Here is a 23,910-nt window from a genome sequence, read left to right on the forward strand (position 1 = left end):
CTGCTGCTGCTGCTGCTGCCAAATCAAATGTTTGGCCAAGGACAATTCCATACATTCCTTGGAAGGAGGCAAGATGGGTGATAGGAAGAACCTGAACACTGGTTGAGAAACGTGGGCTCTGGCTCTATTATCATCAATCCTAAACTGAGCTGCTTCCTATTATATTCGTTTCATTACCTAGACTACAGGACCTCAAGCTTTCTTCAAGTAAATACGGTATCTATGGGAGGCAGAGTCTAAGATGCCCCCAAAGATCCTGGTACACCTGATACTCACACCCTTATGTAGTGCCCTTTCCCGATGAACCAGGGTTGTGTGTGTGACCAACAGAATAAAGCAAAAGGGATGGTATGTCGCTTCTGGGATTAGGTGATAACAGATGTTGTGGCTTCTATCTTGGTCAGCTGGCATGTTTCTGTCTGTGTTTCTAGGACCACTAGCTCTGGGGGAAGCCAGCTGCTATGCTGCAAACAGTCCTAGGGAGAGGACAATGTGGCAGGAAATAGGCCACCTGCCAACAGCCACCTGAATGAGCTCAGAAGCAGATCTTCTGGCCTGCTCAGCTTCAGATGAATGCAGCCTCATGAAAGACCCTGAGACAAAACCACCCAGGTAGGCCTTGCTGGGACTTCTGACCCTCAGAAAACGTGTGTGACAGTAAATGTTTCTGCATTTTAAGGTGGCAAATTTGGGGGTAATTTGTTAACAATAGATAAAAGCCTTAGAAATTAACAAGGTCAGTGGGGCTGGAAGAAGAGGTTCTTACAAGACAACTCTACTTCCCCTTGCTAGCCTTCCTTTTGGTTACCACACATAATTAAGGCACCAATTACAAGCACGGCCTAATAAAATATAAACCCTCCCCCTCGATTTAACTGGAACTGGGAAGAGAAGTGAAAAGGCTTATTATCTAAAGTATAGAATTTGGTTAGGAAAACAATACAACACTTTTGTTACTAGCCTGAGACAAGGGATCTAACATTTACTAAGAGCCTACTACGTAGCTGGCTTTTCAAAGACTCACTAAGGAAATATCCCTATTTTCTAGACGAGGAAACTAAAGTTCAGAGATCTTAAGTAGTTAACTCTAGGTTTATATGGCTTAGGGTAGGCAACTGTTCTGTTTTTCTTGGGGGATTTTCCGGGATGTAAGGCTTTCAGTGCTAAAATCAAAAAATTTTCGGGCACACTGGGAAGACTTAATCACATTACTTACTGTTAAGTAGCTCACAAAGTTAAGTTACTTAAATTTGTAGTTGGTCCAAAACTTGTGCTCTTTACAATTATCACAAGTTGATTTTTTTGTTGATGTTGTTAATTTGGAGACAGGGTCTCGCTCTGTTCCCAGGCTGGTCTGGTTTTCAACTCCAGGGCTCAAGCAATCTGCCTGCCTTGGCCTCCCAAAGTGCTAGGATTACGGGAGTGAGCCACTGCACCCAGCCAATCACACAGTTGATTTTTAAAAGTACATCTTAAAGCTATTATTTGGCAGCTTATGATCTGCAACAAATTTCGAACTGTTACCTACTAAAAAGAAAACCACAAACCCCTCCAGACTTTATCTCACAATACACACAGAAAAGACCGTTGGTTTTTTCTGTGAAAGGGTAAATAATTGCTATTCATATGATACATACTAGCATGGAAATTTTTCAGCTTAAAGGATTCTGCAAATTTCTGTTCCAAAATAGCAACTGAGTCCACAAACGACACTGGTAACTCCCCTCTGTACCTCAACAGACTCTCCAGTGTGGCTAAATGAGCTGACAGGTGACTGGGTGGGCTCTTCACAGAACTTCACATCAAGTCTGGTGCTCTGGCAGGAGAGGTAGGCAGTTACACAATTTTCTCTTCCACAAAAGCCTAGAGACAGCCAACTGACACCACTGGAAACTTCAACATAAACAGCGCTCCTGTGGCTGTCCTACCTGGTAGGTAAGCAAGGCAGTGTTGCCAAAACAGCTCTTTTTAAAAAAAGACCCATGTAATAACCACTGGGGTAGCTATAATCATAAAAACAGAAAATAACAAATACTGGCCAAGTAGATGGAGAAAGTGAAATACTCAGGCGCTTGCTGTTGGCGGGACTGTCAAATGGTACATCTGCTGTGGAAAATAGTTTGGCAAGTCTTCAAAAAGTGAAACACAGAATTACCATATGACCCAGCAATTCCACTCCTAGGTATATACCCAAAGAAATGAAAACACACATTCACTCTAAAACCTGTACACAAATATTCATAGTAACATTATTTATAACAGTCAAAAAGTAAAAACAACCCAAAAGTCGATCAACTGATTAATTAATAAACAAAATGTTGTACATTCATACAATGGAATGTTATTTGGCCATTAAAAGGAAGACAGTACTGACATTTGCTATATCATGAATGAATCTGGAAAACATTATGCAAAGTGGAAGATGCCAGACACAAAAGGCCACAGATGATTCAATTCATATGAAATGTCCAGAATAGGCAGATCCATCAGTGGTTGCCAGGGGCTGGGGAAACGAAGGAATGGGAAGTGACCGATACTGTTTATGATGTTTCTTTCTAAGGTAATGACAATGCTCTGCAATTAGATATACTTAAAAATTAAAAATAACTTTAAGAAAAGGAGAGGTACTTTAAAAAAAGGTTTAATATTTTATACACTCAAGCCTACTGCTAGCAATCTACACTAAGGAAATACAAGCAGATGTGCACTAAGATTGACTTATGATTGTCATCAGTGATATTTGTAACAAAAACTGAAAGGTGGTTAGCCTTCAAGTATCCATCTAGAAGTAACCTTCTAGATGAAACCTTCCGTAACCTAGAAGTAACCTTCTGCTACAGAAATTATAGTATAGGAATATAATTAAATATCATGCCATAATTCAAATGAAGCTATTGGGCATTTATTTTAGAGAAATGAAAACTTTATGTTCATATAAAAACCTGTACACGAATGTTCACAGCAGCTTTATTCTAGCTAGAAACTAGAAACAAACAAGATACTCTCCAACAGGTGAATTGTTAAAACAAACCATGGTATATCCACACCACGGAACGTTACTCAGCAATAAAGAACAAACCTGATACATTCAACAACCTGAATGAATCTCTAAAGAATTAAGCTAAGTGAAAAGGGCCATCCATTTATAAAACACTTTTGAAATGACAGAACTATAAAGATAGAAAAGAGATTAACAAATTGCCTGGGGTTACAAAGGGTGTGAAGGCAGGATGGAAGAGGATGTGGTTATGAAGGCCACATGTGCTGATAGCAATGTTGTGTATCTGGACCGTACTAATGTCAGTATGCTGGTTGTGATATTGTGCTGCAGTCCTGTACAATGTTACCACTGGGGGAAACAGGGTAGAGAGTACTTGGGATCTCTGTATTATTTCTTACAACTGCATATGAATCTACAATTCTCTCAAAAAGTTCAATTTTTTAAAAAAATCTACGACCATGAGAAAAACAAACTAGGCTGAGCATTTGATTTTTTAAAAATTCAATCAACTTCCCCAACCCAATCACATGTGGTGGTGACTTTTTTGGCACCTGTAACTGTAAAGGAAGGTTTATGTTGGCAAGGAATAGTCTGAACTATGACTCCATTCACAAAAGTTTAAGACTTTACCTAAATGCAGGTGTTTCAAATACTCATTTTCACAGTGGTCTGATGAAGCTTCCCAGTAAACATTTTCTTATTCAGACTACTCAGGTGATGGGGATACTGTTTTGATCAACCCAATGATCTAATTAACTTCGAGGAATCATACATCTCACAAAGAGGCCCGCTGTCAAACAGTAAGAAAATCATGAAAGATACCAAATAAAATCCTCCTGATTAAAATGTAATCTTTGATGATTCAGAGGCATTTTGTGATCCTGAGGTATCTCAGAGTCAGAATTATAAATGCCAAATCTCACTTTACAATACTGTAGATGAGCAGGCACAGATAATTGGGATAAAAGTTTATAAATTTATTATGACTCTACTGCTTTATATAAGTTCCTGCAATTAGTTTCCTTGCCATTTTCCTTTTAATACATGGTACATAGAAAACTTAGTTTTATTTCATTTCTAAGATATGACATCACTCTGTCTCCCAGGCTAGAGTGCAGTGGCACAATGATGGCTCACTGCAGCCTCAACCTCCCGGGCTCTTGCAATCCTCCCACCTCAGCCTCCTGAGTAGCTTGGGACTACAGGCATGTGCCACCACTCCCAGCTAATTAAAAAAAAAAATGTAGAGAAGGAGTCTCGCTGTGTTGCCCAGGCTGGTCTTGAACTCCTGGGCTCAAGCAATCCTCTCGCCTCAGCCTCCCAAAGTGCTGGGATTACAGGCATGAGCCACCATGCCTGGCTAAAAACTTAGTTTTAGACTGTCAGATTCCAGATGTTTTTGAAAATGAAAAATAATAAAAGTTTACCATATTATAAAAACAAAAAAACTGTGCTTTCTTCCATCTTTTGGATCATTTTCTTATCAATGCACTGAGAAGCAAAAAAGGGTTAAGCAGCACTTTTACAATGTGCAGTCACTATGTGACTATAGCTTACTGAAGAGTGATGCCACCACGCTTGTGCTCTGCTCTGGGCTTTTTGCTGCCTGCCATTAGCAAAGAGCTGTTCAACCCCCACAGCTCTTCAGAGCACAGTGGATGTTTCCCAGAAAAGGCTGAGGTGACGTCTTCTGTAACCCTCCTTGGAAATTATCCAGCAAGATTAGATCTCTTCTTGGCAATGCTTTTCTTCTTTTCACCAAGTGCTACATTCAACAAATGAGCCACTGTGTTTAAAACCTCCTTGATAATCACTAAAGGTGAAATATTGAGAATTGGGTCCTAAGGTGATTACATTTTAGTGGAACTGCAAGGATTTTAGCAAGTCATGTTAATGTAACTGAATATTCCGACTGGCTAATATGATTTTTCCTTCATTTCAATTCTCTGCAAGTACCAAAATTCAACTCTAGGCTGTCATAGAGCCATTTAGCTGTAACAAAACGAAGGAAAGCCAGTGATCAAATTAACATGAAGTCAGTTAGGTGCCCACCTACAGCCAGAACACCAAGGGAGAGACACCAACAGGTTCCAAAATGAAAATTAAGGACAGAGTGAAGGAGAAACAAATACCTATTCCTGTATAGAAATTATAGAAATGCATTCCTGGAGAAGTCAATCATATGAAAATTTTAGGAAAAGAACTGAGATTGTAAAATGGCATATATAATCGTTTAACAATATGCCTTTACTGAGCACCAAATGTGTAAGGCACTATGGCAAGTGGTAGGGACAGAGAACCTGGTCCTTTCCCTTCAGCTCAGAAATCTAGCTATTCCTCCAGTCATGACCCATATTTTCAGTTCACTTCAAAACACAGAAATTGATGTCTTATGTCATAATTTGAGTGAAAAAAATAAAATTAAAAAGAAAAAAAAATCAGCACAAACTAACAACAGCTTAACACACACCCACCCTTGAAAGGCAAGAACATTTTACTGGTCAGGAGCTAGGGGATGGATATAAAATAGTACATAATATCCTACTTTGATTTGGAAAAGCTATCACATATTTCCTATGCAAAATCCAATGAAAACAATTATTTGAAGAAAATTAATGTAACTACAGAAGCAGTGACATGTTTAAAATGTATTATGTTTTTCTCCAATGATTTTTTTCACATACATGAACAATTTAATAAATTGCAACTGGGTTGGAGAAGAAAAGGAGAGGGTCTTGGCCAGCTTGTGCTGCTATAAAGAAAATAGCACATGCTGCTAGATTAAACAACATTTACTTCTCAGGGTTCTGGAGGCTAGGAAGTCCATGATCAAGGTGCCAGCAAATTAGGCTCCTGGTAAGGGTCCTCTTCCTGGCTTCAGATGGCTGTATCCTCCTGGGGACTTGGGGACATGGGGATGGGTAGAGAGAGTACTGGTCCCTCTTCCTCCTATAAAAATACTGATCCCATCATAGGGACTCCACCCTCATGACCTCATCTAAACTTAATTACCTCCCAAAGGCCCCACCCTTCTAATAGCATCACTTTGGGGGTTAGGGTTTCAAAATATGAATTGAGAGTGGGGGGACACAAACCTTCGGTCCATAACAGAGAAGCAGTTTTCCATTTAAGAGATAAACGAATGACTGTTTACAGAGTCTAAAGAAAATTGACACTTTTAAAAAACCTAGTATCTAAGATGAATCATTTTCATTCATATAGTCAAGTTATCAAAACACATAATCTCCACTTTATGAAAGGGTTGTACTATTGTAAATTAGTCATCTGGCCTTTGGAAAATAATTTTTTGGAGAAATGTTATATTAGTTGTTCTTAAATTTCCGGGGGTTCCATATCAATTGTGAAAATCTGATTAAAGCAAAAGGGAAATTCTCTCCATCTCAAAATGACAGAGAGTTTGGATTAAACTGACTGACATTTACAGGGTCGCCCAAATCCCAGTAGTCCCCAAGTTAAAAACCCTAGCTGTCAGTGGAGGACAGATCTCCAGACCAGCCCTAAAATACTTTACTTAACTCATAATGAAGTGGCAGCAATAGGACTAGATTCTCACCATTTCTATGAGAAAGATGTAATCTGTAATATGCATAATTTCAGTTAGAGTTCTCTAGGCTCTGAAACTATACTGTAATAGCATACACTGTAATATTACCTTGGGCAAGCTGCTAAAACTATATAGACCTCAGTTTCCCAACTCATAAACATGGGGACAATAATGCTTATACCTCATGGAGTTGCTGTGAGGATTAAATGAGATAATAAAATTGTATGAAGTGCTTGGCATAATGCACAAACACCTCAATTCGTGGCAGCTATTTTTATCATCATCAGAAGCACACATTCATCAAACATACATTTAACACACTGTCACAGGCACTGGAGACACAGAAATCCACAAGACCACAAATCTGCCTTCAGAAAGGTCAAAAGTCTCTAGCAAGGGAAGGAGAAACAGTAAATAACTGTAATAAAGTGATCTATGTGCCATGACAAGGTATGTACAGGAGAAAAGGATGGGTAGGGGTGGGGGGATTAATACAGAGCAGTCAATTCTGTATGGGGACCAGTGGGTCAGGTGAAGCTCTGCAAAGAGAGTAATATTTAAGGCTTGCTAGTGGGGATCAGACAGAAGGCAGAGATGAAAAAGTGAAAAACAATGTTGGAGAAGGAGGTAAGAGCTCCAGAGTTTGTTTTTAAACTGGGGGGTTGGTAAAGAAGGGGTGACAGTTGGGGCGAGAGGCTGAAAAGAGGGTGAGATCAGCATCAGGTTGGTTAAAAAAACGACTGCAAGAGTCCAGATGAGAGATGGGGGCCCTCCAAAGGCACAGCAGGAGAGGGAATGCAGGGGTCACATGGGAGAGATGTCCAGGGTGGGCAAGGTGAGGGAGAGGGGGGAGTCCAAGCTCTTGGCTTCTCACACTGGAGGGGGGTGCCATGTAGTGAGTGAGGAAGCATGGGGGCTGCGGGTGTGTGAGGGGTGGCAAGCAGACTGCAAGAAGAGAATATGGAAAGTTCTGTTCACCTAGACCTTCACTTTACTAATTTTATTAATAAATTGATTATAGTCTCGTGTATGTTTCATAACCTGTTCGATTAGGAGGCATGTCATATAGTTTGAATTAGTGGAGTGCAAGTTAGTGGAAATTCACTGTACTGACATGTTCTCTTACAGGGAAAAATAAGAAAGATAAATTGTACATTAAGTTCATAGTATTAAATGTAAGAAGTTCATCCTTAAGCTACGACCTAACCCACACATTTGCTTAGGGACTCATGTATTCCTGCTGTCCTAAGAAAACATTAAGCCAGCTATGCTCAAACATGAATTACACACTTCAGGAGGTTGAATTATTTAGCAAATTGCTATTTCCTTCACTAAATGGTCTGCTAATGACTGAATGCTTATAAGGAAGCTTTCCAAAGTGATTTCTCTCATCCCATTAACGTCTCTCCAAGAGAACCAGATAACCATTTAAAAACCTAATCCAGTTATAAATCATGCTGCTGTAAAGACACATGCACACGTATGTTTATTGTGGCACTATTCACGATAGCAAAGACCTGGAACCAACCCAAATGTCCAACAACGATAGACTGGATTAAGAAAATGTGGCACATATACACCATGGAATACTATGCGGCCATAAAAATGATGAGTCCATGTCCTTTGTAGGGACATAGATGAAACTGGAAACCATCATTCTCAGCAAACTATCGCAAGGACAAAAAAACCAAACACTGCATGTTCTCACTCATGGGTGGGAACTGAACAATGAGAACACATGGACATAGGAAGGGGAGCGTCACACCACGGGGACTGTTGTGGGGTCGGGGGAGGAGGGAGGGATAGCATTAGGAGATATGCCTGATGCTAGATGATGGGTTAATGGGTGCAGCATACCAGCATGGCACGTGTATACATATGTAACAAGCCTGCACATTGTGCACATGTACCCTAAAACTTAAAGTATAATAATAATAAAATTTTAAAAAAAGATGAGAACAAAAAAAAATTAAAAAAAATAAAATAAAATAAAATAAAAACCTAATCCCGCCCACTATTTCAAATGATGGATTTTTCCCCCTTATTTTCAAGTCCTTTTCTTTGCAGAACATAATAATGATAATAGCAACTAATACTCACTCTATCCTTACTATGTGCCAGTCTTTCTGCTGTATATTTACAAGGATAATCTCAGTCCTCATGCCAGCCCTCTCACAGATGAGTCCACCCAGGCAGACAGCCACTGTCACTTGTCCAAGGTTACACTGAGAGGAGGCCAACTGACTCCAGAGCCTACTCTTTGAACCACTACATTCTACTGCCTCCCCACGTTACAATAAATTTTTTTCTATAGTAAAATGATGTTTCCTATAGAAAATATGGAAAGTAGAGAAAAAATATCTGTCTCATTTTGAAGTAAAAACAAAAAGCTACCAAGAGTATAGCTGAATCCACGTTAACCCTTCTACCATCTATGATTAAGTGGAGTGATCCTGGGCGAGTACATGTCTGAAAACCTCAATCTCCTCACCTGGAATATTCTCTTCAAATGGGAATAACATGAATACCTAATCAGATGAGATGGTTCATGTACAGCATTTAGCATGGAGCTTTGCTATTAGCATATATAAATTTACATAAATATATTTACATAAGTAAACATAATTTTATTTCTTCTACCTTTTTCTATGCTTTAAAAAAGCACATACTTCCAGCCTGGGCAAAACGGTGAGACCCCGCCCCATCTCTACAAAAACTACAAAAAATTAGCTGGGAGTGGTGGTGCACACCTGTGGCTGCAGCTACTCAGAAGGCTGAGGTGAGAGGATGGCTTGAGCCCAGGCGGTGCTGGCTGCAGTGAGCTGTGACTGCGCTACTGCACTCCAGCCTGGGCAAAAAATTGAGACCCTGTCTCAAAAAGATAAAAATAAAATAAAACAAAAAAGCACATACTCGTAAGCTTAAATTTCAACACTAAAGCAGTCATTTTCCTTTTTTTCAACTTTAATAGTATATTTGATTTAACCCAATATATCTAAAATATTATCATTTCAACATGTAGGCAACATAAAAATAACTTTATATTCCTTTTGTACTATGTCTTTAAAATCTAATATTTTACATTTATAGTCCACTCATGTGGACACTCAATTTTCATTGGAAATATCTGATCTGCAGGCCGGGTGCAGTGGCTCATGCCTGTAATCCCAGCACTTTGGGAGGCAGAGGCGGGCAGATCACAAGGTCAGGAGATCGAGACCATGGTGAAACCCCGTCTCTACTAAAAATACAAAAAATTAGCTGGGCGCAGTAGCGGGCGCCTGTAGTCCCAGCTACTCGGGAGGCTGAGGCAGGAGAATGGCGTGAACCCGGTAGGCGGAGCTTGCAGTGAGCTGAGATCCCGCCACTGCACTCCAGCCTGGGCGACAGAGCGAGACTCCATCTCAAAAAAAAAAAAAAAAAAAAAAAAAAAAAAAAAAAAAAAAAAAAAAGAAAGAAAGAAAAAGGAAATATCCGATCTGCATTTAGAGCTCATAAGATTTGCAACTGTGAAAGTGGATTCACATACTCAAGTTGTTTCAAACACTTAAAAGTTTTCTAATAGTTGAAAATCAATAAAAAATTAGAAACTCTCAGTCATTCCAGCCACATTTCAAGTGCTCAGGAGCAACATGTGGCTACTAGGTACCATAACTGAGAGTGCAGCTCTAAAATGCTCTCCTCCCTAGGGTTACTTTAGACATTCAGTTTTAAAAAATGTATATGGATGTTGGCTTTATTTCTCATTTAGAATATAATTAATATTCCCTATTTCCTTCTTGATTGGTCCCAAATTCCTTTCTTCCATCCAACTTCCTTTTCTTTCCACAACATGCCTGTTCATTTGGTTCATCTGGAGTTCTCATTTAGTTCACTGCACTGTGCTGGTTCGGTATAATGAGATCAGTTCAGGGCTAGGGCCCTCTCTTGAACTTATATTTCAATATATTACTCAAACCCTGCTCTCCTCTATTTTAATTGTGTGCAGCCCTTTGTCATCTTTGTAAACACTTTATATTTTCAGAGTACTCTCATATTATCTGGTTTGATCCTTGGAAATGTGTAAGTAAGACGAAGGTTTGGTTTTAATCCTATGTATCTACCAGGTTTATATATTTGCCCAAGTCACATAGAGATGAAGCTAGATTGATTATAACTCATATTTCTGGCCAGGTGCAGTGGCTCATGCCTGTAATCCCACCACTTTGGGAGGCTGAGGCAGTCTGAATCCCTTGAGCCCAGAAGTTTGAGACCAGCCTGGCCAACGTGGCAAAACCCTGTCTCTACTAAAAATAAAAAAAAATTAGCTGGGTGTGGTGGTGCACACCTGTAATTCCTGCTACTCGGGAGCCTGAGGCACAAGAATCACCTGAACCCAGGAGGCAGAGGTTGCAGTGACCCAAGACTGCACCACTGCACTCCAGCCTGGGTGACAGAATGAGTCTGTCTCAAAAACAAAACAACCCCACATTTCTTTTTTTTCTTTTTTTGAGACATAGTTGCGCTCTGTCGCCCAGGCTGGAGTGCAGTGGCGCGATCTCGGCTCACTGCAAGCTCCTCCCCCTGGGTTCATGCCATTCTCCTGCCTCAGCCTCCGAGTAGCTGGGACTACAAGCACCCACCACCGCGCCTGGCTAATTTTTTGTATTTTTAGTAGAAATGGGGTTTCACCATGGTCTCGATCTCCTGACCTCGTGATCCACCCACCTCGGCCTCCCAAAGTGCTGGGATTACAGGCGTGAGCCACCACACCCGGCCAAAACCCCACATTTCTTAACTTTTGTTCTAGTGTCTTTTCTACTATGCTAGGACATAGCATAGTAGAAAAGGCTTCCTTCCACAGAATATCAGGCCCCACCTCTTACTAGTCCCACCCAATCATATATTGAATTGCAGGCAGCCTTAAAAAGTTCTTAGGACTGAAAAAACAAACCATCTCTAGTATTCGCTGTAATTACCAGAAATTAACTCCTTAGAAACCGGCTTATTATCCCAATGTTTATTTTTTTTAAATGACTGAAAATATGCACTTTAAAAACAGGATTCTTGAATTCATTTAAACTACTGTCTTGCAGTAAGGTGGCCAGAAGGATCACCTCTCCTTATTTATGTATATGGAGACCCATGAGAAAAATAGGGAAAGAGCAATTACAATGGCAACAGCCAACTGAATCCTTCCACCCACTGGATTCTTTGATGAACTGCTGCAGAAGCTCATCCATGCTTGTGATAATCACCAGACAAGAGATCCCTGCCTTCTTCCTTACGTAAGATGTTCTGTTGGGTATGAAGCAAGAGGTCATACTCGCAATTGACAGCCCATGCCATACCAAAGAGTATGTGTACTGCAGAGACATTTCCAAATAACGTTACCTGTGACAAAAGGGTTAAATCCCACAAGCAGGGTCAGTCCTGCAGACATCATGCGCATCACCATCCACGGTTCTGCATTTGGATCATTTACCTGCATGAAGGCTGCCAGCAATCATTTTCATGAACCTAATTTGACTTCTGAAGCAACATTTATATAAACACTTTTACGTATTCCTCTAATATTAGACATTTAATGTTTCCAAGTTTTCACTATTTTCAAATAATATTGCAATAAACATCTTTACACATAAAACTTTAGCTGTATATTAAAGTATTTCCATGGGTGAGACTCCCAGAAATTGGCCAATTAGGTCGAAGAGTCTTAGAATGCATTGAAAAATTCCTTTTCAAAACATTTTTATGTATTAATGTTCCCACTTGCAAGGTCTATGTAAACAGCCTTTATAACTGCAACCATTGCCATAACTGGACAATCTCATGAAGAAAAAAATTCTTCATTAATTTAGTCTAATGTAAAACACTATACTAGTATGTCAGAAATATAAATCATACCGAAATTCCAACAGCTGAATAAATAAACACTAAATATATACACTGAAAATTTGTGTAAAGAGCCATTTCGGCTAACACTGGTAAGAGAAAAGTGAAATGGCAAATGCTGTGTGTGCTCTGCTTGCCTAAGGATTAATTTGTGAACATAAGCTGGTATTTGTTAACAGGTCACCCATGTTAGGAGCCTTTCTTTCTCTCAGGTTATTAGTACACAGTAAATAGAACTGTCTGCATTCCACAAAAACTCCCCCTCAAACCAAGGAGCTAAGTCTAGTTACCAATTTTTAAAACCTCTAAGAAGTATTATGCTTCACATAAACAACAGCAATCCTTGAGAACAAGTATGGATTTTAAAAAGCACAGTTCAAGCATTTGTTAAATATCTATTCTGTCTGGGGACATGGACTGTCATTTAAAAAACTGAATCTACAAACCCATCCACAGCTTTACAGGAACCCCGTAAACAAGGGAAAATTCACTTCTGGTGAGAGAGGCACAAAACTACCTTTAAAAAAGCCAAATTTTTAAAGTATTTAAGAACTTGAAGTAAGAAGACTCTTCCAGTTGTTTTTTTAATTATATATACAACGTTTCGCAGAAGACAGGCTATTTTTGCTAATCAGTAGCTGAGTCAGCCAAATTTGGTTTATGTTATTAGTATTACTGTCAATAAAGCAGTATAAAACAGCTTGACTTTTCCAATCCCATGCGGAGGCACTAAGTGAGCAGTTGGAAAAATATTTTTACTTGCTCACAGAGAGATTTCATACTCATGTCACAGGACACAAATGAGAAACCCCAAAGACTCCTCTTGCCTGCACTTTTCGGCTCAATCACCACACCTAGAATAAACAAACAGCATAAAACACAACAGCTTCCATTTAGAATCAACCAACTCCTACCTGGGCATTAAAATCCTCACGAGGACAACCAGCCCACTATCTGGGAATTATGTCACACTGAAAAAGAAGACTCCACCAGCAAAACATTGGTCAAGTACTAAGATAAGCTATCCAAGGTTTAACAGGAAATGGCATTAACTCTGGCCTAATTTGTTACAGCATCAAACAAAGCTTGCATCATTACAGATTGCAATGCTTCACTAATGAGTTAAGAGGATTTCATTATGAAACCATAATATTCTTCCTTTATTGAGTCCCTTGCTTCAGGATCATAACACCATTAAAAACAGAAAACACACCAAGGATAATAATCATAGTAGCTAACATTGAACACTTAATGTGTGCTAAGCATCGTACCACGCACTTCACATGCACTATTTAATTTAATCTTCTCAGTAAGTTCAGTTACCGAGCCTGCACTTGTTGGAAAATGGGATTCAAACCCTGAATGTTGGCTCCACAACCTGCACTTTTAACTGTCAATCATATTAAGATTAAATTTAACTGTCAGGAAAATAGAAAAATGCATCAAACTAGCAACCTACAGATACCTGTAACACACTACTGGGTCCCAAGTAGTAGTCTAAGATTTAGGTGAGGAACAGTTTATGTCCAAGACAATCTAACACCAAGACAATGGTGTAAAATATAGAATGTCAGTGAGTCAATGGTTACATTAATTACAACGTTTATGTGACACTTAATTTGGTTTTTCTTCCCCATTCAAATGAATCATCAGATTTTGGCATCCTAGGAACAGGATAAACGTGGTCATATTAATTCTCAGGTAAGGAGGCCTGCCTAGACATGACATAAAAGCAAATACAGTGATAACATGATCTCAGTGAAGCTATGACTAAAAAAGTCTCAAATAGAAACTTCATGGAATGAGAAATGGCTCTACCACGTCCAATACTAGCCAGCTTTTTTTTTTTTTTTTTTTTTTTGAGACGGAGTTTTGCTCTTGTTGCCCAGGCTGAAATGCAGTGGCGTGATCTCGGCTCACCGCAACCTCCGCCTCCCGAGTTCAAGCGATTCTCCTGCCTCAGCCTCCCGAGTAGCTGGGATTACAGGTGCCCATCACCACACCTGGTTAATTTTTGTATTTTTAGTAGAGACAGGGTTTCTCCATGTTGGTCAGGCTGGTCTCGAACTCCCGACCATCTGACCGACCATCGGGCCATGCCCGACCATTACGGGCATGGGCCACCGCACCCGGCCCAATATTAGTCAGTTTCTAAAGCCAGGATAAGTAACAAGCTTTTCCCATATCCCTTTTAAAATACGGATATGCAGAATTTAAGGAAATCAGTTATGGGTCGGGTGCAGTGGCTCATGCCTGTTAATCCTAGCACTTTGGGAGACTGAGGCAGGCTGATCAATTGAGGTCAGGAGTTCAAGACCAGCCTGGTCAACATAGTGAAACCATGTCTCTATTAAAAATACAAAAACTAGCCCGGCATGGTGGCACACGCTTGTAATCCCAGCTACTCAGGAGGCTGAAGCAGGAGAAGTGCTTTAACTTGGAAGGCGGAGGTTGCAGTGAGCTGAGATTGTGCTACTGCACTCCAGCCTGGGAGACAGAACGAGACTCTACCTCAAAAAAAAAAAAAAAAAAAAAAAGAAAAAAAAGAAAAGAAAAACAGTTACAGATCTCTATCTATGGATATTGATTACATAAGTTTATATAACTAAAAGTAACATTTAAAAACATGGATTAAGTAGAGTTAAAAGAATTGGGGACCAGGCACAGTGGCTCACAGCTGTAATCCCAACACTTTGGGAGGCCAAGACAGGCAGATCGTTTGAGCCCAGGAGTTTGAGACCAGCCTGGGCAACATGGAGAAACCCCACCTCTACAAAAAATAGGAAAATTAGCTGGGTGTGGTGGTGTGTGCCTGTGGTCCCAGCTACTCTGGAGGCTGAGGCAGGAGGATGGCTTGAACCCATGAGGTGAGGTTGCAGTGAGCCAAGATGGCACCACTGCATTCCAGCCTGGTGACAAGAGGGAGATCCTGTCAAAAAAAAAAAAAAAAAAAGGAAAAGAAATAGAATCAGGAAGGAGGGCAGAATACTGGTCTATAGCAACGACTCTGGGATAACTACTTAGTCTTAGTTTGGAGAGAAAGCAGAGGAATGGGCTATCATACCAAAAAAAAATCAGAATTTCTTCATCTCCAAAGTGTATCAAAAAGGAAAAGAATTAGCTTGAGGTTTGACAGAAGAAACTTGCAGAGAGATGATATACAAACACTAGAAAAGGCCTAGGGTGATATTGCATAAATAAGTACCCCACTCTCTTCAATGGCTGGGGCGGACAGATTAACCGGAAGCCAAAGACTTTTTTTCTGGACACTGATAACCCTGTTCCATCTAGACCGAAACAAGGTAGAAAAGCACTGTGCTAAAAGTCACCTGGTCTCCCTGACTCTGCCCAACACCCTAGGTCCACTCGCTAACATGAATGTCCTATCCTACTAATAAGTTTTCAGGGAGGTTGCTTCACAATTTATTCTCCAAAATGCCATGTTTCACACTCAATTTACTAATGACCACTTCACAAGTGTCTAGATGTCCTATCCAAGGACAGGACAATTTATGGATAAATACAGCCAAAGAGAATCATGTATGATTCTTCAATCTAAAACACAACTTCTAGGCTTAAGATACCCATTACTGTGTCATAAGCCAAATATCTGATACTTATGTCCAAATGTCATTTTTTAAAAAAGTGCCCGTATCTTACCTATCATTTATGGAACACCATGAAGGTGATGTGATACCGCACCCTGTAGATATTTATGCCTGTCAAGTATTCATAAGCACTCTTCTGGATGCAGTGAGCCTGAGAGAGTTTCTGAATGACCGAAGCAACTAGACTCACATGAAAAGTTGATTTCCCACTAGCACCCAGTCAGAGACAGAGAGTCACAGGGCTGAGGGCTTTGCTCAGGAGGAAGATCCAGGCTTGGGACAAAGGGAGAGGCTTCACCAGAGGAGGGGGACTTCCACTGTCACTTAAAAGACTGGTAGGTTTGGGCAGGCCAAGGAGCAGGGGAAAGAAATAAGGAAATTGCTACTCAAGAAGTGGAGGCAGGAGTGGGCTGCCACAATCTGGGAAGAATTGTGACACTTGGTAGGCCGGAAAAGTGTCTCAAATTTTACCTCGACTTTATTAAGCAGCCATGTTAATTGGCTGGCATGTGTTAAACATTCCACTCGACCAGAAAACCAAGTCAGCAATGATTTAAGGCACATTAAAACGTGAATGCTCCATAAATATTTGTTAAATGAACTAACTCTGGACAGAGCATCAGGGAAGACTTCATGCAAGTGGCATTTGGCCAGGTTATTAAGGACTTTGCAGGGTGGAAGGCCTAGGAGGCACAATGGTTGGTGGATAATTCAAGCGAAGGCACAGCATGAAGAGATATAGAGGTGTGAAAGGACACAGTAGACAGAAAGGGTAGGGTATCAGAATAACTCAGTCATCTCTTAGCCTGTTGAAGCCATCGTCTTGAGCATCTTATAAATATCCACCTCTTCCTAGCTGCACCACCAAGGCCCATTTTCTTTCCTGTGGACTCCCAGCTGGCTTTCAGGCACTCATTCTTGCCTCCTTCTATCCACCTCCACATTGCACCTGAGTTCTTTTTAACCACCAAAATCAGTGGGGCCACTCTTGCCTGAAGCTTTTTGTCACCTTGCTCTCTGGATACAGCCTACAATCCCTCACTTGGCTTAGAGGCCCTTTCACACCCAGGCCCATACCTGCTTTCCCTAGCCCAACTTCTGCCGTCCCCTCTTGCTCACTGCCCCCAACCCCACCCGTTTCCTTTTCACATTCTGCAGTGTGTCCTTGACTCCGGCAGCTCCCAAGCAGGGAAAGCTCCCTTACCCGCCTGTCCCACTTCCCCTCTATCTGTGCACACCAGAGAAATCTTCCCTGATTCCTCCCGCAGAGCCCCAGACTAGGTTAGGTCCCTCTCTGTACATTCTAATCATACTCCAAATACAAATTATTTAACCTGTGGTTAACATCTAAGTCCTTGAGGCGTTATGTATCTGTGGGATGACTGTGAGGCTGGAAAGCAGCCTGGAAAGCAGTTTTGCCCTAGGCACCAGCAAGTACGGTGACTCAGCCATACCGGCCTTCACGAGAAAGCAGAAAAAAACCCAAGGTCTGCTTTCCCTCACCATGCTTCCAGCAGAGCAGGAGGCACTCACAACAGGCGCTTGGCACCATTACCCAGCAGGGCAAGATTACAGAACTTTTCACCTTGCTTGCAACTTTAGAAACTGTGTGTCCACCACTAGTGCAGCAGACAGTTATGGGTGACGCTGACCTACAAACAGATGAGATGACCCTACTTTAGATGAGCTCATGTTTCCACATGCATTCTCTAACTTAGGACCCCAAATGGACCCAAATCCTTTGAAACAGGATATTCTGCTCCCTCTTCTGACAAGTTTCTATCCACTCACTCCTCCTGTCTGCCTTCCCTAGTAGGCAATCTGCCATCACCAAAGCAGATCTTTGTCCCCACCCTCCTTACTCAGGCTGGAAGCTATAGTCACAAATACTCCTGATGCCCAACCTACCCCTGTGGTGCCTCACTGCTAGGTAAATCCAACAAGCAGAATTGATGGTTTTGCTGAGATCTGGACAGTCCCTATGAATCCCTTAAAAGTCCTCCTCCTTCAATGGTCACTCTTCACATGCTACAGCAGGGGTGGATGAAACTTGAAAACATTATGCTAAGTGAGAGAAGCCAGATACAAGAGGTCACATATTGTATGATTCCATTTATAGGAAATATTCAGAATAGGCAAATCTACAGAGACAGAAAGCAGATGGGTGGTTGTCAGGGGCTCAGGAGAGGGGAGAATGGCAAGTGGCTGCTAACTGGCAGTGGTCTCCTTTGGGGATGTGAAAATGTTTTGGAATTAGAGGTGACTGTGGCAAACAACACTGTGGATGTACTAAATGCCACTGAGTTGAACATTTAAAAATGGCTTATATAATGTAAATTACACTTCAATTGAAAAATTTCAAATAACTTTTTTTAAAAGTCCCTCTTCACCCTTCCAATTCATACAGTATCTTTCCATCGTTCTGCTTATACTCTGGATCTTTTCCCGTTTCTTTCAAGAATTTATTCATCTCCCATCTGCCTTTTACCTTCCATTTCCTCTCTCGACTGGATGCTTTTTTTCTGCTGACAAATCAGCTCCAGTGTTCAACCTAAAAGTCCTTCCCTGAACTTTATTTTCCCCTCAAATCTCATCTACAATGATCCCAAGACCCCATAAAAGTCAGCCAATTATCAATAGCCTCCACTTTTCCACCTCCTGTATCCCTCTAGTTCCGTTTCCAGCAATAAGACAACCACAGATAGTAAAAAACCTACCGGCTACCACACATATAAAAAAACACTCTTGTTAAAATGAATGAATGAACCTACAAATTTAAAAAGAAACTGCCAGATACCTTTGGCATTGCACTGCCCAATGAGACAGACAAGGGCACAAATAGCTATTTAAGTAAACTGAAATGAAAAACTAAAAATTCTGTTTCTTAGTTGTATTAACCACATTTCAAATGCTCAAAAACTAGTAGTAGTTAGTGACTACTATATTAGATAGTGCAAAATATATCCCATTAAAAAAAATCTGAGCATCTGGAAATACAGTAGCTCAACTGTACTGGTACCTGATTCAGGTATCAAAGAATCTGAGGTTATAAAAATCTTAAAAGAATTCCTTAGAGTAAAATCAAGAGGAGGCTAATGCTCTATTTACAGTCCCCAAAGTAGAGCTCTAGTTGATCTGACATTATACACAAAAGGCCAGAGGAAATCTTTTTGTAACACATAGAATTAAAGGTTAAATGGTTACATAAAACAAGATGGAGATGTGGGACATGATGCAGCAATTTTTTATTAAAACAAAGGCATTATCCAAAATCAACAGTTAAAAAAAGGTCAAGCAGTATCTATCCAAGAGACAGGAACAAAAAAGAAATCAGCTATTTTAAAACTATTCCAAAAGGTTGCTAGTCTGGAAGCCTAAATACTGTAATGTATAGATAGCAAAGAGAAAGGGATGAATTAAAAAAAATAAAATGAACATCTAAAAAGCTATTAATGCTACACTGAGACCTTAATCTCTTCGTTTACTCCTTGTTGTTTTGGGTTTTTACTTTAAAAACTGACCACTACAGCCTTACCACAGAGCACTAAAGCAAGCAACCAGTGTTGTTAAGTGGACATAAGCTTGCTTTTAAATACTGTCCTGTCTACAAAAAGTACCTTACAGATATGTTCATTTGATAAAAAGACCAAAACCAGCCCACCTGGTGAAGTTCACATGTGAAGGTGACACACATAGAGCCTGTGGCATAAAACACAGAATTTATTTAGGCAGAAGGAAACAGGAGGCAATGGCTGCTGAAGCAAGAAGGAAAAATGTTTTTATAACTAAGTAGTATATAAAGTACTTTTAGTACTATATATATAAAGTATAACTAACTACTACTACTACTACTGCTACTGCTACTGCTACTGCTACTACGAGATTACTTTTTCACTGTCACCAAAAGTTTTGAAAAATACGTTTTTATATTTTGAAATATATTTTGAAAAATATATACTTTATTATCATACAGTAGGTTAGTTATTTTTAAATGTTTTCATAATTGTTTTAAACCTATATTTTAAAACAATTTAAAATTGGTTTCTAATAAGGTAAATACTAATAGATATAATCCACATAAACAAAAGCTCTTTGAGTTTCTCAGTAACATTTAATAGCGCAAATCTTATCTTTTTTTCCTTTTGCTTTTTTAAATGTTTTTCTCTCAAGCCACTTTGTCTAAGAATACTATGTCGGTCAGGTGCAGTGGTTCATGCCTGTAATCCCAAGACTTTGGAAGGCTGAGGCGGGTGGATCACCTGAGGTCAGGAGTTCGAGACCAGCCTGGCCAACACGGTGAAACCCCGTCTCTACTAAAAATAGAAAAATTAGCCGGGCATGGTAGTAGGCACCTGTAATCCCAGCTACTTGGGAGGCTGAGGCAGGAGAATTGCTGGAACTCAGAAGGCAGAGGTTGCAGTGAGTCAAAATCATGCCATCGCACTCAGCCTGGGGGACAAGAGCAAGACTTCGTCTCAGAAAAAAATAAGAAATAAAAAAGAGAGAATAGTGTGTCTTCAGACCAAAAAGTTTGAGAGCTGTTGTATTAAAAACTGCACGTAGAATTTTCCTCTTCTGTACGATTTTATTTCTAAAAAGACATTATATATTTAGCTTCTTATCTTAATGGCAAATAACCCAAATACACTTTAAAAATAAAGAACTTCTACAGACGCGTCACTTAACAATGGCAATACATTCTTAGAAATATGTCACTGGGCGATTTCATCATGAGAACATCATAGAGTGTATTTACACAAACCTAGATGTATGGCCTACTACACATGCAGGCTATATGGTACAACCTATTGCTCCTAGGCTACAATTAACCTGTTTGGCATGTTACTATACTGAATACTGTAGGTAACCATAACACAGTGGCAAGTATTTGTATAGCTCAACAAAGAAAAGGTATAATAAAAATAGAATATAAAAAATAAAAACCAATACACCTGTACAGGGCACTTACCATGAATAGACGTTGCTCTGGATGAGTCAATGAGTGGTGAATGACTATGAAGGCCTAGGACATTACTGCACACTGTAGACATTATAAATACTACATTGAGGCTAAACACTATGCTGAGGCTACACTAAATTTATTTTAAAATTTTTTCTTCCTCAATAATAAATTAACCTTAGTTTATGGTAACATTTTTTTCTTTATAAACTTTTTTTTTTTTTTTTTTTTTTTTAGGGACAGAGTCTATGTTGCCCAGTGGGGCTATCCACAGGTGTAATCATAGCTCACTGCAGCCTCGAACTCCTGACCTCAAGTGATCCTGCCTCTTCAGCCTCCCGAGTAGCTGGGACTACAGGTGCATGCCACTGTTCATGAGTTTTACAGACTTTTACATTTTAACTTTTGACTCTTTTGTAATTAACACAACACAAATACATTGTACAGCTGCATAAAAATTATTTTCTTTATACTCATTCTGTAAGCTTTTTTCTATTAATTTTTCTTTTAAAACTTTTTTTTTCCTTAAACACTAAGACAGAAACACACACATTAGCCTAGGCCTACTCAGGATCTTCAATATCACTGTCTTCCCTTCTACATCTTGTCCCACTGGAAGGCCTTCAGGGGCAATAACATGTGATAACAATGTTTTCTTCAGGAATACCTCCTGAAAGACCTGCCGGAAGCTGTTTCACAATTAACTTTATTTTTTGGTTAAGTAGGAGTACTCTTTAAAATAATGACAGGCAGTGGCTCATGCCTGTAATACCAACATTTTGGGAGACCGAGGTGGAAGGACTGCTGGAGCCCAGGAGTTGAAGATCTGCCTGGGCAACACAGTGGGACCCCATCTCAACAAAAAATTTAAAAAGCCAGGCATGGTGGTACATACCTGTGGTCCCAGCTACTTGGAAGCTGAGGTGGGAGGACTGCATGAGCCCAGGAAATCAAGCCTGCAGTGAGCTGTGATTACACCACTGCACTCCAGCATGAATGACAGAGCGAGACCCCATTTCCAAAATAAATAAATAAAAATTTTTTAAATGATAAAAAGTACAGTAAATACAAAAACCAGTAACATAGTTGTTTATTATCCCTATCAAGCACTGTATATGGTACGTAATTGTATGTGTGATACTTTTATAGAATTAGCAGTGCAGTAGGTTTACACCAACATCTCCACAAACACATAAGTAATACACTGCCCTAGGACATTAAGATGACCCCTACTTCACCAGGCAAGAGGAATTTTTCAGTTCCATTATAATCTTATGGGACCACCATTATATAGGCAGTTCATCACTGACCAAAATATGGTTATGCAGTGTATGACTAAACTTGTCCTTTAGCAGTTAAATGAAACTTGGAGTACACCGAGTTTAAAAATCTAACACTCAAAATATTTGAAGTTTGTTAAAATGGTCATTTTGGAAATAAGCTAATTATAATGAATAAATCTTACACTAAATATATTGTAACTGTATTAGTCCGTTTGGTGTTGCTATAAAGGAATATCTGAGACAGGGTAATTTATAAAGAGGTTTATTTTAGCTCACAGTTCTGCAGACTGCACAAGCAGCACAGTGCCAGCATCTGCTTCTGGTGGGGCCTCAGGAAGCTTTTACTCACTGTGAAAGGTGAAGGGGGACCAAGAGTGTCACATGGTGAGAGAGGAAGCAAGACAAAGAAGAGCAAGAGAGAGATGCCAGGCTCTTTTACACAACCAGATCTCACATTGAACTCTTTACCATGAGATGGCACCAAGTCACTCATGAGGGATTCGTCTCCATGACCCAAACACCTCCGAGTAGGCCCCACCTCAAACACTGGGGATGAAATTTTCACATGAGATTTGGAGGGGACAAACACCCAAACTACATCAATAACTAGAAATACTCTGTGAAATAAGTTGTTACCAGTTCCCTACTAACTCGTCAAGTTACATTCAGTATGGTATTAAGAGAAATTCAACCCAATCAGCCAAACAGGAGTGAGGTGATTTTCACATTATTGGTAGGCATAAAAACTGAGTTTCTTTAGCCACAGCATGATGCTAACTCTCCTTCCAAATGAGGACGCTCCTCATGGAGACTTAATTACCAAAAACTAAAATTTAAAATCATAAATAATGAGAGAAGCAAGTTTCCTGTGGTTAAATCACATTAGGTAGTACTGCAAATAGAATGTATTCAATTATCAACCACTACATAAATGCTGAAGTGTTATACATACAAACATATACACAGAACGGAGCAGGAGGAGGGAAAAGAGGCGGAGAGAGAATGGAGAGGGAGTGAAATGGAGAGGACAAGGAGAGAAAGAGAAAGGGGAGTGCGTAGAGGAGTGATCACTCAGAATCAAAGTCAAAAATTCATTTTTCTGACTTCAACTTGCCACAACACACACTTTTTGGAAACCAAACTTTCCATTTGCCTACCATGTCAGTCAGTTTTCATCAGGTACTAGTTTCTTTGGCTCTGTTTGCTAATCAGTTCAAACTGTATCATGTAAGAGGTTCTTCAAAAACTTTACAAAAACACGAAAGCCACCCTCCCCAAAAGGGTACAGCTACAGGGTGGCTTGGGCCACTATGTGCCCCCAGCATCAGTGGCTGAAGCTCAGCTGACTCCTTAAAGCGAAGACCTGGCTGAAGGAAGAAAAGCAGGTCAGCAAGGGGGAGAGGGGAGAGAATGAATAAATAAGGTAGGGAGAAAATTACATGACACTCCCTTCTCTAAAATAAGAATCTGGGAGTGACACTCCACCTCTCCAAGCATGCCTTTCAGGGTTGGGAAGAGTATCCCTTTGCAAGAGAACGGTGTAGAGAACAGTGTTAAAGAGAGTGTTAATCCTGTGTGAACCTCAACACTTACCTGCTATAAAGGTGGATTACATATCC

At 40.1% G+C, this 23,910-nt stretch overlaps 1 protein-coding gene across 5 annotated transcripts in view, besides 3 other annotated features; it reads right to left on the bottom strand.

Moving 5' to 3' along the window:
- Positions 1-23,910, bottom strand: part of ELOVL5 (ELOVL fatty acid elongase 5) — an 81,547-nt gene that overhangs the window by 41,895 nt on the left and 15,742 nt on the right. The window lies entirely within an intron of this gene.
- Positions 573-682: an enhancer, noted in NCBI's record as "active region_24695". NCBI's record gives its function as "activates an Ori minimal core promoter by ATAC-STARR-seq in GM12878 lymphoblastoid cells {active_cell/tissue: GM12878}" and the evidence as "EXISTENCE:reporter gene assay evidence [ECO:0000049][PMID:35858748]".
- Positions 773-822: an enhancer, noted in NCBI's record as "active region_24696". NCBI's record gives its function as "activates an Ori minimal core promoter by ATAC-STARR-seq in GM12878 lymphoblastoid cells {active_cell/tissue: GM12878}" and the evidence as "EXISTENCE:reporter gene assay evidence [ECO:0000049][PMID:35858748]".
- Positions 3,153-3,447: a silencer, noted in NCBI's record as "tiled region #4240; K562 Repressive DNase matched - State 5:Enh". NCBI's record gives its function as "represses a minimal TATA promoter and a strong SV40 promoter by Sharpr-MPRA in K562 cells {active_cell/tissue: K562}" and the evidence as "EXISTENCE:reporter gene assay evidence [ECO:0000049][PMID:27701403]".

Source organism: Homo sapiens, chromosome 6 (assembly GCF_000001405.40).
Source record: "Homo sapiens chromosome 6, GRCh38.p14 Primary Assembly".
In the NCBI taxonomy this organism is placed as follows: Eukaryota; Metazoa; Chordata; class Mammalia; order Primates; family Hominidae; genus Homo; species Homo sapiens.